Genomic DNA, 13,690 nt, shown 5'->3' on the forward strand with positions numbered 1-13,690 from the left:
ACATATTTCATGTACACAGTCCCTGTAGAGGGTTTCTGACCTATGGTAAGTAAAGAATGTTACTTTCTGACAGGCCCAGGAGCCCCAGGTTTATATTGAAATCTCAAGAGGAGAGGATCACCCAACCTCATAGATATTTGATGGCACAAAAACATGGCTGGACTGGGCTTTTAAAAAGTTTTATCTGAGGTCCTTTCTATGGAACAAACTTCCAGCAAAGCCTATTTAAAAACCTATGTAAAAAGTATTCTTGCTGCACTGTATACAAATAATTAGGCCAAGTATAATAAAACTAACCAGTCCTACCATGATTTATCTTTAGCAAAAATGGGAAACTGGAGAGAGAGAAGTTATGTTTCAAAAATTATAGTACCCTTGTTGTTAGATTCTAGTCTTGTCCAATGTTTTTCACATTTTATTATTTTCTACAGTTTAGACAGAATTCTAATTTTTCTTGGCTATGAGTCTTTGAAATAATGTTTTCTTTTTTTTTTTTTTTTTTGCTTTTTTCCCATTTTTTTCTAATTTGGAGTCACTGAAAACTAAGCTGTGTTTTTGTAAAGCCCTGTGAATTGAAACTAGAAAACTTAAACTTCAGAAGAAAATAACAGCAACCTATTTATTTATACAAGCCACTTTCATAACTGCCTACTGATGTATAGACTTCAGAGTAAAGTGGCCTATATAAATTTTCCAGGATTGTCCTTTGGTTTGTTGTTGTTCTTCTCCCTCTCTCCCCCTATTTTCTCTTCATAGGACACTGTAAGGTATTCTGTTACTGGCTGGATCTCAGTGCCTTAGAGTAAATGGCAAGCTGAATGTCATCCAGTTCACAAGATTCTAATCATGACTGGCTGGCATTTATAGGTCATGCCAATAAAGGAGTTAAAAAATGACAAATGTAACTGGATCAGAGAGCATCTGTCTCCCATTCACTATCAATTAGAAACAAAATTATAGATTCCGAATTTTTTTCTAAATTGGTATGTATTTCAAATTTCTATACCCACCAAAACAGTCTCTGCAATGCAATTAGAAAAGGTATTTGAAAACTCATTTAGGACGAGGAGAGAAGGCAACTTTATTTTCTCTATATATGCATTTCTAGATGTTTTTTGCAGTCTTTCTTTCCAAAGCTTAATATTTTCCTCTTAATAAAGATAGACTTGAGTGAAGAAGAGGAAACAAATTTTTAACTTGGCTTCCAAAGACGCAATACAGCATGAAGAAAAATGGGTGAAGGATTTGAGCTCTTTGTGAACAATTATGACAAAGCTAAATCTTGTGGAATGTTTCAATTCCTTTCTTTTGAATTGTTACTGACAAAGCCAGTCCCCCAAAATATAGAGTCTTTCCCTGTTTGGTGTTGCAAAGTCAATAAATAAAACTGAAAGTGAGTGCCAAGAAATACAGGGTTTATTTAATGGCCATGGAATTGAGAAGTGAGAATATGGTTCACAAATCAACTTCTCCACTAGTGAGGGGTGAGAGAGTTAAAATATAGGACTTCTCTAATGAAGGGGCTGGACATTAAAAGCAAGTGGGGAATATTTATGTCTTTTCTAGAAATGGACGGTGAACTTCCCAGAACCTGAGTGTTACCTTCCTTTTGTCTTTTCATAACTTCTTCTGGTCACTGTCATGGCAATTGTCAATTGTCATGGCACTGGTGGGAGTGACATTTAGCATGCAAATTAGATTATAATGAAGCCTGAGGTCTTTTTGTAGTCATTTGGTTTGCTATCTTAGTTCTAACCCGTCTCAGCTGGTCTGGTTGCCATGAGGACTTTTTGTCGCAGGTGTCATGTTTCTTAAAAATAAGCAGAGTTAGGGCAGGGTAGAAATTTAGCTATGTCATATAATAGGCATTACACTGGGTAACAATATCAATGACTGGTTAAAATTTAGTGATATATTTTAACTGTTAATAAACATAGTCCTGTGTGTTATGGAGGCACACCTAAACAATATAAAAATTAGTTTCTGTCCCTGCAGAAGAAAATAATGAGATTTGAGAGAGAAGGAGGAACATTTAAAGATAAACTAATCAATAAGTACAGATTCATATTTGGCACTGGGAAATGAATGTAAATGGAGTTCTTAGTGAACAGAAGGGGGATCAATCATGGAAGGCTTTTGAAATAACTGTTGAATTTCTTACCTTCTATCCAAACCTACCACCAGGACACTAGTCCAGTTGGCCATTGTTTCACATAGGCTACTGAAAGAGATGCCTAACTTGTGTTAATTTCCCTTGTTCTGCATCCCTATTGATTCCCCACATGGTAGTCAAACTAGATTTTCTACAATATAAATTTTATACACTTGTCACTCCCTTTCTTAAACCCTTATAGAGCTTCTCATTTCTTCCAGGATAAAATTCCAGCTCCTTATCATCTGCCTCCCACAAAACCTCAAAAAAATTCTTTTATGGTATGATCATAAAAAGCCTATTTATTCTTCCTTATGTCTTATTTTTCCCATTTTTTATATCTACTTAACAAATATTTATTTAACACCTACTATGTGTCTGTTTTACATGCTGTTTACAAAGCACTGTTTTACATGCTGAAGATACAACAGATATAAAAACATTTAAAAAATATTCTATACTCACTAACATTACATTCAAGTAAACAGTGGAAGAACATACACAAAAATAAGTACCTAAAGCATTTAAGTTCCCAGATGGTGATAAATTCTGTGTAGAAAAAGCATGGAAGAGGCATTGAAAGCATCAATATAAAAGGGTTACAATTAAAAGTAAAGCATGACTAAAGAGGTGACATTTAACAAAAGACTTAAAAGAAGTACAGCTATGTAGATGAAGTGCATTCCAGGAACAGGAAACTGCAAGTTCAAAACCTCTTGGGCAAAATATTTTTTGATATATGTAAGAAAGAGCAAGGGGTCAGTGTGGTTGGAGAAGCATGAGTGAGGGTGACAGTAATAGGTGAGATGGTCAGAGAGGGGGCAGTTTGTATAGGACCCTGTGGGCCATTATGATAACTTGGCTTTTCTTCCTAGTGAACTGGCTAGCCATCACACATTTTGAGAAAAAAAAATGATATGATCTGACTTGACTTGCTTTTTAAATCTTGTTTCAGGATGTTGGAGCAAGGTGGTGGAATAGAAAGCTCCACCGATCATCCTCCCCAGAAAGACATCAATGTAACAACTATCTACACAGATGAAACACTTTCATAAGAACCAAAAATCAAATGAGTACTTATAGCACCTGGTTTTAGCTTCATATTGCTGAAAGAGGCACTGAAGAGATAAACAGTCCTGAATCTCTGATGCTACCCTTCCCCCATGCCCTGCAGTGGTGTTGTGGTGTCTAGAGCATCTTTGGGCACTGAGGGAGGGAGAACACAGAAATTGTAAGGCACTGAATGCGGTGCTATCCTGTTAGAGCAGTAAGGAAAGTCAGACCAAATTCAGCTGATGCCTGCCTAAAGGATAATTTAAACCAGCCCTAGCCAGTTGGTTGCCTGTGAAAGAATATAGACCCAGAATTTTTTCTTTAGTTGGAGATTTTTGTGTAAAATTTTTAAAATGGATATGAAACTATTCAGGGTATCTATTTCTTTCTGGAGTAAGTTTTGGTAGTTTGTTTCTTTGAGTAAATTAGTCTATTTGTTCTGAAATGTAAAATTAATGGGCATAAAGTTGTTCTTAATATTCTACTTTTATTCTTTAAATATCTGTAGGCTCTATTGTAATGTTCTGCCTTGTGTTTCTCATATAGTTGATTTATATATTTTTTCTTTTTTAATCGTGATAGAAATGTACGAATTTACTAATCTTTTCAAAAAGTCTTTGAGTTACTTTATTGATTTTCTGCTTTCATTTTCATTGATTGGTGATATTATCTATATTGTTTCATTCTGTCTGATTGCTTTGGATTTATTTTGCTCTTATTTTTCTAATTTTTTAATGTGAAACTTTAGGTCATCGATTTGAGGCATTTATTTATTTTTTTTAGCATGAGCATTTAATACTATAAATTGATCTTAAAGCACTGCCTTACTTTGCATTCCAGATATTTTGAATTGTGTTTTAATTTACATTGAACTATTAATATTTTTAAACTTTCCTTGGGACTCTGCTTTGACCCATGAGTTACTTTTTCCCTGGATAAGATAGATATTTAATGAATTTATATTGAGAATAAAAAAAAAGTTGAGCTAGTGGATTTTTAAAAATTATTATACATTCAGGAGGTGCAGGTTTGTTACATGGATATATTGAGTAATGCTGAAGTTTGGGCTTCTAGTAAACCCATCCCCCAAATAGTGAAAGTGATACCCAACAGGTATGTTTTCAACTCTTGATTTTCTCCCACCTTCCCCACTTTTGAAGTTCCAAATGTCTATTTTTTTTTTTTTTTTTTTTTTTTTTTTTTTTTTTTTTGAGACAGTCTCACTTTGTCGCCCAGGCTGGAGTGCAGTGGCGCGATCTCGGCTCACTGCAAGCTCCGCCTCCCGGGTTCACACCATTCTCCTGCCTCAGCCTCCCGAGTAGCTGGGACTACAGGCACCCGCCACCATGCCCAGCTAACTTTTTTTTTTTTTGTATTTTTAGTAGAGACGGGGTTTCACCGTGTTAGCCAGGATGGTCTCGATCTCCTGACCTCGTGATCCACCCACCTCGGCCTCCCAAAGTGCTGGGATTACAGGCGTGAGCCACCGTGCCCGGCCCCGAGTGTCTATTATTTTTAATTTAATGACCACATGTACCTATTGTTAAGCTCCCACTTATAAGTGAAAACATGCAGTACTTGATTTTCAACTTCTGAGTTATTTCACTTAGAATAATGACCTCCAGCTCCATATATGTTGTTGCAAAGAACATTATTTCATTATTTTTTATAGCTGAATAGTACTCATTGGTGTATATGTACCACGTTTTCTTTATCCAATCCACCATTGTTGTATATTTAGGTTGATTTCATGTCATTGCTTTTGAGAATAGTGCTTTGATGAACATTTGAGTGCATGTGGCTTTTTGATCAAATGACTTTTTTTCCCCTTTGGATAGATATCTAGTAATGAGATTGCTGGGTCAAATGGTAGTTCTATTTTTAATTATTTGAGAACTCTTTATATTGTTTTGAATAGAGGTTGATCTAATTTACATTCCTACCTACGTGTATAAATGTTACCTTTTCACTACATCCTTGCCAATTTTTTTGACTTTTTATATATTTTCATTTTTATTATTTATTAAAAATTGCTATGATAATAAGATTATCAACCAAGCATATGGAAAATTTTCCTTTTACCTTTTTCTCCCCCTTTTTAAGCAGCTGATTCAGCTATAGTTTAAGGAAGGGAATTAGCAGACTCCAGTATGTTATTTTGCAGTCATCATGGGCTAGATTCCCTCTCTTTATGCAGGCATCATTCAGAATCATACTGTCATTAAGAAGTACTAAGTGGATCTATGGTTTATGTCGACTTTTGTTCCCAACACAGGTCACTTTAATCCTCAGTCTTCGTTACTCATCCGAGCTGCTATATTTGTATATCACACTTTCTGTAGGAGAAAGTTCTGTATTTGAAGGTAACCTTGGTCACAGTAGTAAAGCTTCCTTTTCAACAGGTGTGGTAGTTGTTTCACACCCCCTCCTGAGTGCTACGCTAATTAATCAACTTGCTCTCTCCTTCTTAATGCAATGGAATAACCCTGTTGAGTTCACCATGCCACTGGTGACAGCATCCTCAGCATGTTGATCACCTCAAACAAATGGGAAGTGGTTTCTAAAATCCTGTCATCATTTTACCCATTCGAAAATTTTAGAAATGTAGTTTTATATTTCATTGAATAGGATGGCATGTTAGTGTGGTGTAATACAATCCTGATGACCTTGCAGGATTAAAAAAAAAAATCTTCTATTTTAGGTTTATGGGCATATATGCAGGTTTGTTATATAGGTAAGTTCATGTCACAGGGGTTTGTTGTACAGATTATTTCATCACTCAGGTACTAAGTTTAGTAGCTAACAGTTCTTTTTTCTGATCTTCTCTCTCCTCCCACTCTCCACCCTCAATTAGGTCACAATGTCTGTTGTGTCCATGTGCTCTTACCATTTAGCTCCCACTTAAAAGTGAGAACATGCAGTATTTGGTTTTCTGTTCTTGCTTCAGTTAGCTAAGAATAATGGCTTCCAACTCCATTGATGTCCCTGCAAAGGACATGATCTTGTTCTTTTTCATAGCTGCACAGTATTCCATGGTGTATATGTCCCATATTTTCTTTATCCAGTCTACCATTGATGAGCATTTAGGTTGATTCCATGTCTTTGCTATTGTGAATAGTGCTGCAATTAACGTATGCATATGTGTATCTTTATGACAGAACAATTTATATTCCTCTGGGTGTATATCAAGTAATGGGATTGCTGAGTCAAATGGTAGTTCTGTTTATAGTTCTTTGAGAAACTGCAACACTGTTTTCTAGAATGGTTGAACTAATTTACAGTCCCACCAACAGTGTATAAGAGTTCCTTTTACTCCACAACCTCGCCAGCATCTGTTATTTTTAAATATTTTTGTAATAGCCATTCTGACTGGTGTTAGATGTTGTCTCCTTGTGGATTTGCATTTCTCTAATGATCTGTGATATTAAGCTTCTTTTCATACACATGCTGGCCACAGGTAAGTCTTCTTTTGAAAAATGTTTGTTCATGTTTTTTGTCTACGTTTTAATGGTTTTTAAAAATCTGTTTAAGTTCCATATAGATGCTGGATGTTAGACCTTTGTCAGATGCATATTGTGCAAATATTTTCTCCCAGTCTGTGGTTTGTCTGTTTACTCTGTTGATAGTTTCTTTTGCTGTGCAGAAACTCTTTAGTTTAATCAGGTCCCATTGTTAATGTTTATTTTTGTTGCAATTACTTTTAAGGATTTAACCATAAATTCTGTGCCAAAGCCTATGTTGAGAAGGGTATCTGCTAGGTTTTTATCTAGGATTTTTATAGTTTGGGATCTTACATTTAAGTATTTAATAAATCTTGAGTTGATTTTCATATATGATGAGAGACAGGGTGTCCAGTTTCATTCTTCTGCATATGATTTGCCAGTTATTGAATAAAGAGTCCCTTCCCCATTGCTTTTTTTGTTGATTCTGTTGAAGATCAGATCGTTGTAGGCATGCCATTTTAATTCTGGGTTCTCTAATCTATTCCACTGGTCTGTGTGTTTATTATTATACCAGTACCATGCTATTTTGATTACTGTAGCCCTACAGTATTGTTTGAAGTCAGACAATGTGATGCTTCTGGATTTGTTCTGTTTGCTCAGGATTCTTTTGGCTATTTGAGTTCTTTTGTGGTTCCAAATGAATTTAATAATCGTTTTTCCTATGTCTATGAAAAGTGATGTTGGTATTTTGATAGGATTAGCTTTCAATACGTAACTTGCTTTGGGCAGTATGGCCATTATAATTATAGTGATTCTACCAATCAACAAGCATGAAATATTTCTCTATTTATTTGTTTCATTTCAGATTTCTTTCAGCAGTGTTTTGTAATTCTCCTTGTAGACAACTTTGATCTCGCTGGTATGATAAATTCCCAGGTATTTCGCTTTCTTTGTAGCTATTGTAAATAGGATTGTGCTCTTAATTTGGTTCTCAGTTATAAAGTCTTTGGTGTATAATAAAGCTACTAATTTTAGTACATTGATTTTGTATCATGAAACTTTCCTGGATTCATTTATCAGTATCAGGAGACTTTTCTCAGAATCTTTAGGGTTTTGTATGTATAAAATCATATCATCAGCAGAGAGGGATAGCTAGTCTTCTTTTTCTATTTGGATGCCTTTTATTTATTTCTCTTGCCTGATTTCTCTTGCGAGGACTTCCAGTACTATAATGTATAGGAATAGTGATAATGGGCATCCTTGTCTTGATCCAGTTTTCAAGGGAAATGGTTCCAGCTTTTTCCCATTCAATATGATGATGGCTGCAGGTTTTTCATAGATGGCTGTTGTTATTTTGTGGTATGTTCCTTCAATGCCTAATCTTTCGAGGCTTTCTGTCATGAAGGGATGTTGGATTTTATTGAATGTATTTTTTCTGTATCTATTGAAATAATCATGTGTTTTTTATTGTTGATTCTCTTTATACAGTGAATTACCTTTATTGATTCACATATATTGAACCAATCTTGCATCTCAGACATAAAGCCTATTTGATCATGGTGAATTAACTTTTTGATGTTCTGCTGTAAATGGTTTGCTAGTATTTTGTTGAGGATCTTTGCATTTATACTTATCAGGGATACTGGCCTGAAGTTTTGTTTTTTCATTGTGTCTTTTTCTGATTTTGGTATGAAGATGATGCTGGCTTTATAGAATGAGTTAGGGAGAAGCCCCTCCTCTTTAATTTTTGGAAAAGTGTCAGTATAATTGGTGTAAGTTCTTCCTCATATGTTGAGTAGAGTTCAGCTGTGAATCCATCAGGCCCATGGCTCTTTTTGGTTAGTAGGATTTTTTATTACTGATTCAATTTCTGAACTTGTTACTGGCTGTTCATATTTGCACATTCTTCCTGATTCATTCTTGGGAGGTTGTGTGTTTCCAGAAATTCATCCATTTTCTCTAGATTTTATAATTTGTTTGTGTAGAGATGTTCCAATAGCCTCTGAATATCTTTTCTATTTATTTTTTCTCTTTGCCAATCTAGCTATTGGTATATCAATACAGTTTATTTTTTTTGAAAAATCAAACTTTTGGTTTCACTCACATTTGTATGGACTTTTGGGTATTAATTACATTCAGCTATTCTCAGATTTTAGTTACTTATCTTCTTTTTTTTGAAAAATTTTATTACATATTTTATTATATATATTTATTACAGAGAAGATTACAGTAAACATCTAATCTTTTTAAATTTATTTTATTTTATTATTGTTATACTTTAAGTTTTAGGGTACATGTGCACAATGTGCAGGTTAGTTACATATGTATACATGTGCCATGCTGGTGTGCTGCACCCATTAACTCATCATTTAGCATTAGGTATATCTCCTAATGCTATCCCTCCCCCCTCCCCCATAACAAACTGTCTCTCAGACCACAGTGCAATCAAACTAGAACTCAGGATTAAGAAACTCACTCAAAACCGCTCAACTACATGGAAACTGAACAACCTGCTCCTGAATGACTACTGGGTACATAACGAAATGAAGGCAGAAATAAAGATGTTCTTTGAAACCAATGAGAACAAAGACACAACATACCAGAATCTCTGGGACACATTCAAAGCAGTGTGTAGAGGGAAATTTATAGCACTAAATGCCCACAAAAGAAAGCAGGAAAGATCCAAAATTGACACCCTAACATCACAATTAAAAGAACTAGAAAAGCAAGAGCAAACACATTCAAAAGCTAGCAGAAGGCAAGAAATAACTAAAATCAGAGCAGAACTGAAGGAAATAGAGACACAAAAAACCCTTCAAAAAATTAAGGAATCCAGGAGCTGGTTTTTTGAAAGAATCAACAAAATTGATAGACCGCTACCAAGACTAATAAAGAAGAAAAGAGAGAAGAATCAAATAGACGCAATAAAAAATGACAAAGGGGATATCACCACCGATCCCACAGAAATACAAACTACCATCAGAGAATACTACAAACACCTCTATGCAAATAAACTAGAAAATCTAGAAGAAATGGATAAATTCCTCGACACATACACCCTCCCAAGACTAAACTAGTTACTTATTTTCTCCTACTAGCTCTTGGATTAAATTGTTCTTTATCTTCTAGTTCCTCTATTTGTGACATTAGGTCATTAATTTGATTTTTTTTCATTGTTTATGTTTAAGTTTTGTGGGTACATAGTAGGTGTATGAATTTGTGGGATACATAAGATGTTTTGCTATAGCCAAGCAATGTGAAATAATAACAGCATGGAGAATGGGGTATCCATCCCCGCAAGCATTTATTTTTTGAGTTATAAACAATCCAGTTACACTTTTTAAGCTGAATTCTATCAGACTTTTAAAGAAGAATTGATAAAAATTCTACTAAAATTATTCCAAAAGATAGAGGATGAGGAAGTCTTCCCTAAATCATTATATGAAGCCAGTATTACCCTAATACCAAAACCAGGGAAGGACATATCAACAACAACAACAACCACAAATACAGACCAATATCCCTGATGAACATAGATGCAAAAATCCCTCAAAAAACATAGATGCAAAAATCCACAAAAAACACAGATGCAAAAATAAAAAGAAAACAAACATTGTATATTCTCACTTCTAAGTGGGAGCTAAGCTATGAAGATGCAAAGGCATAAAAATGATACAATGGACTCTGAATACTTGGGAGGAAGGGTGGGAGTGGGGTTGAGGGATAAAAGACTACACATTGGGTACAGTGTACACTGCTCTGCTGATGTGTGCACCAAAATCTCAGAAATCACCACTAAAGAACTTATCCATGTAAACAAACATCACCTGTTCCCCCACAACTATTGAAATAATAAAAAAATTAATCAGAATTGTCAGAAAATGATTTTCTTGTTAACTGAATACTGGAGAATATTGTATATTCTATTGCCAATAATGTATATTTTTAATACATGTCCCAGATTATTCTGAAAGGCAGTCTTATTTGTGAATAACCACTGTATGTCATATGCTAATGGATCCTCAATTTTTGAAGAAAAAAATGAAATATATATCACTGAGAAACAGATATTTTAAATATACAATTAACTTATTATTGACCATAGTCACCGTGTTGTGCTATCAAACAGTAGGTCTTATTTATTTTTTCTAATTATTTTATTTGTATCCATTAACCATCCCTACCTCCCCCAACATACTTCCACTACCCATCCCATCCTTCTACGCTCTAAGTCCATGAGTACAATTGTTTTGATTTTTAGATTCCATAAATAAGTAAGAACATGTGAAGTTTATGTTTTTGTACCTGGCTTATTTCACTTAATATAATGATATCTGGGTTCATCCATGTTGTTGCAAATTATTGGAACTCATTCTTTTTAAGGCTGAAGAGTACTCCATTGTGTTTATATACTACATTTTCTTTATCCATTCGTCTTTTGATGGACACTTAGGTTGCTTCCAAATCTTTGCTATTGTAAAAGGTGCTGCAACAAACATAGGAGTGCATATATCTCTTCACTATCCTGATTTCCTTTATTTTGGATGTAGACCCAGCAGTGGCATTGCTGGGTGATATGGTAGCTCTATTTTTAGTTGTTTGATAAACCTCCAAACTGCTCACCATAGTGATTGTACTAATTTACATTCCCAAAACAGTGTACAAGAGTTCCTTTTCATCCACATCCTTGCCGGCATTTTTTATTGTGTGTCTTTTGGATATAAGCTACTTTAAATGGAGTGAGATGATATCTCTTTGTATTTTTTTAAATATTTTTACTTTTAATTTTTGTGGGTACATGATAGGTGTGTATTTATGTGTTACATGAGATGTTTTGATACAGGCATGCAATGTGAAATAAGCACATCATAAAGAATGGGGTATCATCCCCTCAAGCATTTATCCATTGAGTTACAATTTGGCTATACTCTTTAAGTTATTTTAAAATGTACAGTTGTTACTATAATCACCCTGTTGTGCAATCAAATAGTAGATCTTACTATTCTAAGTATTCATTCTAACTATTTTTGCACACATTAAGCATCCCCACCTCCCCTCCAGCCACCCTCTTCCCCTCTGAGCCTCTGGTAACCATCCTTCTACTCTTTATATTCATGTGCTTAATTGTTTTGAATTTTAGATCAGACAAAAAAGTGAGAACATGTGATGTTTGTCTTTCTCTGCCTGGCTTATTTAACTTAACAGGATGATTTTCATTTCCATTCATGTTGTTGCAAATGACTGGATCTCATTATTTTTATGGCTGAGTAGTACTCCATTGTGTGTATGTACCACATTTTCTTTATCCATTCATATGTTGATGGACACTTAGATTGCTTCCAAATCTTGGCTATTGTGAATAGTGCTGCATTACATACGGGAGTGCAGATATCTCTTCAATATACTGATTTCCTTTCTTTTGGGTATAGACCAAGCAGTGGAATTCCTGCATTATATGGTAGCTCTATTTTTAGTTTTTTGAGGAACTTCCAAAATATTCTCCACATTGGTTGCACTAATTTACATTCCCACCAACAGTGTATGAGACTTCCTTTTTCCCCATATCCTTGCCAGCATATTTTATTAACTGTGGATATAATCCACTTTAACTGGGGTGAGAGGATATTTCATTGTCATTTTGATTTGCATTTCTCTGATGATCAGTGATGTTGAGCACCTTTTAATACGCCTGTTTCCCATTAGTGTGTCTTTTGAGAAGTGTCTAATTCAAATATTTTGTCCATTTTTAATAGATTATTTTCTGTTAGGCTTGTTTGAGCTCCTTACATGTTCTCGTTATTAATCCCGTGTCAAAAGGGGAGTTTGCAAATATTTTCTTCCAATCTTTAGGTTGTCTCTTCACTAAGTTGACTGAATCCTTTGCTGTGCAGAAGTTCTTAACTTGATGTGATCCCATTTGTACATTTTTGCTTTGCTTGCCTGTGCTTATGGGATATTGCTCAAGAAATGTTTGCCCAGGCCAATGTCCTGGAGAGTTCCCCCAATATTTTTGGTAGTAGTTTCATAGTTTGAGTTCTTAGATTTAAGTCTTTTATCCATTTTGAGTAGATTTTTGTACATGTTGCAAGATAAGGGTCTAGTTTTATTTTTTTGCATACAGATATCCACTTTTCACAGTATCATTTATTGAAGAGACTGACTTCCCCAGTGTATCTTCTTGGCAAGTTTTTTAAAAACGAGTTCACTCTAGATATGTGGGTTGTCTTCTGGGCTCTCTATTCTGTTTCACTGGTCTATGTGTCTGTTTTTATGCAAGTACCATGCTGTTTTGTTTACTACAGCTGTTAGTATAATACGAAGTCAGGTAATGTGATTCCTCCAGTTTTGTTCTTTTTGCTCAGGATAGCTTTGGTTATTCTGGGTCATTTATGGTTTCATACAAAATGTAGGATTGTTTTTTCTACTTCTGTGAAGAATGTCATTAGTATTTTCATAGGGATTGCATTGAATCTGTAGATTGTTTTGGGTAGCATCAACGTTTTACAATATTGATGTTTTCAGTTCATGAATCTAGAATAGTTTTCCATTCTTTGGTGTCGTCCTCAGTTTTTTTTCATCAGTGTTTCATAATTTTCATTACAGTGATCTTTCACTTCTTTGGTTAATTCGTAGGTATTTAATTTTATTTGTAGCTATTGTAAATTGAATTTTTAAAGTTTCTTTTTCAGATTGCTCACTGTTGGTGTGTAGAAATGCAACTGATTTTTGTATATTGATTTTGTATCCTGCAACTTTACTGAATTTGTTTATCAGTTCTAATTGTTTTCTGGTGGAGTCTTTAGCCTTTCCAAATATAAGATCACGTCATCTGAAAACAATGATAATTTGATATTTTTCTTTCCAACTTGGATTGCGTTTATATTTTCCTCTTGTCTAATTGCTCTATATAAGATTTCCAGTACTGTGTTGGTGGCAACAGTGGGCATCTTTGTCATGTTCCAGATCTTAGAGGAAGGTCTTTCACTTTTTTTCCATTCAGTATGATGCTAGCTGTGGATCTGTCATATATTGCATTTATTAT

The sequence above is a fragment of the Homo sapiens genome, chromosome X (assembly GCF_000001405.40).
Source record: "Homo sapiens chromosome X, GRCh38.p14 Primary Assembly".
Lineage (NCBI taxonomy): Eukaryota > Metazoa > Chordata > Mammalia > Primates > Hominidae > Homo > Homo sapiens.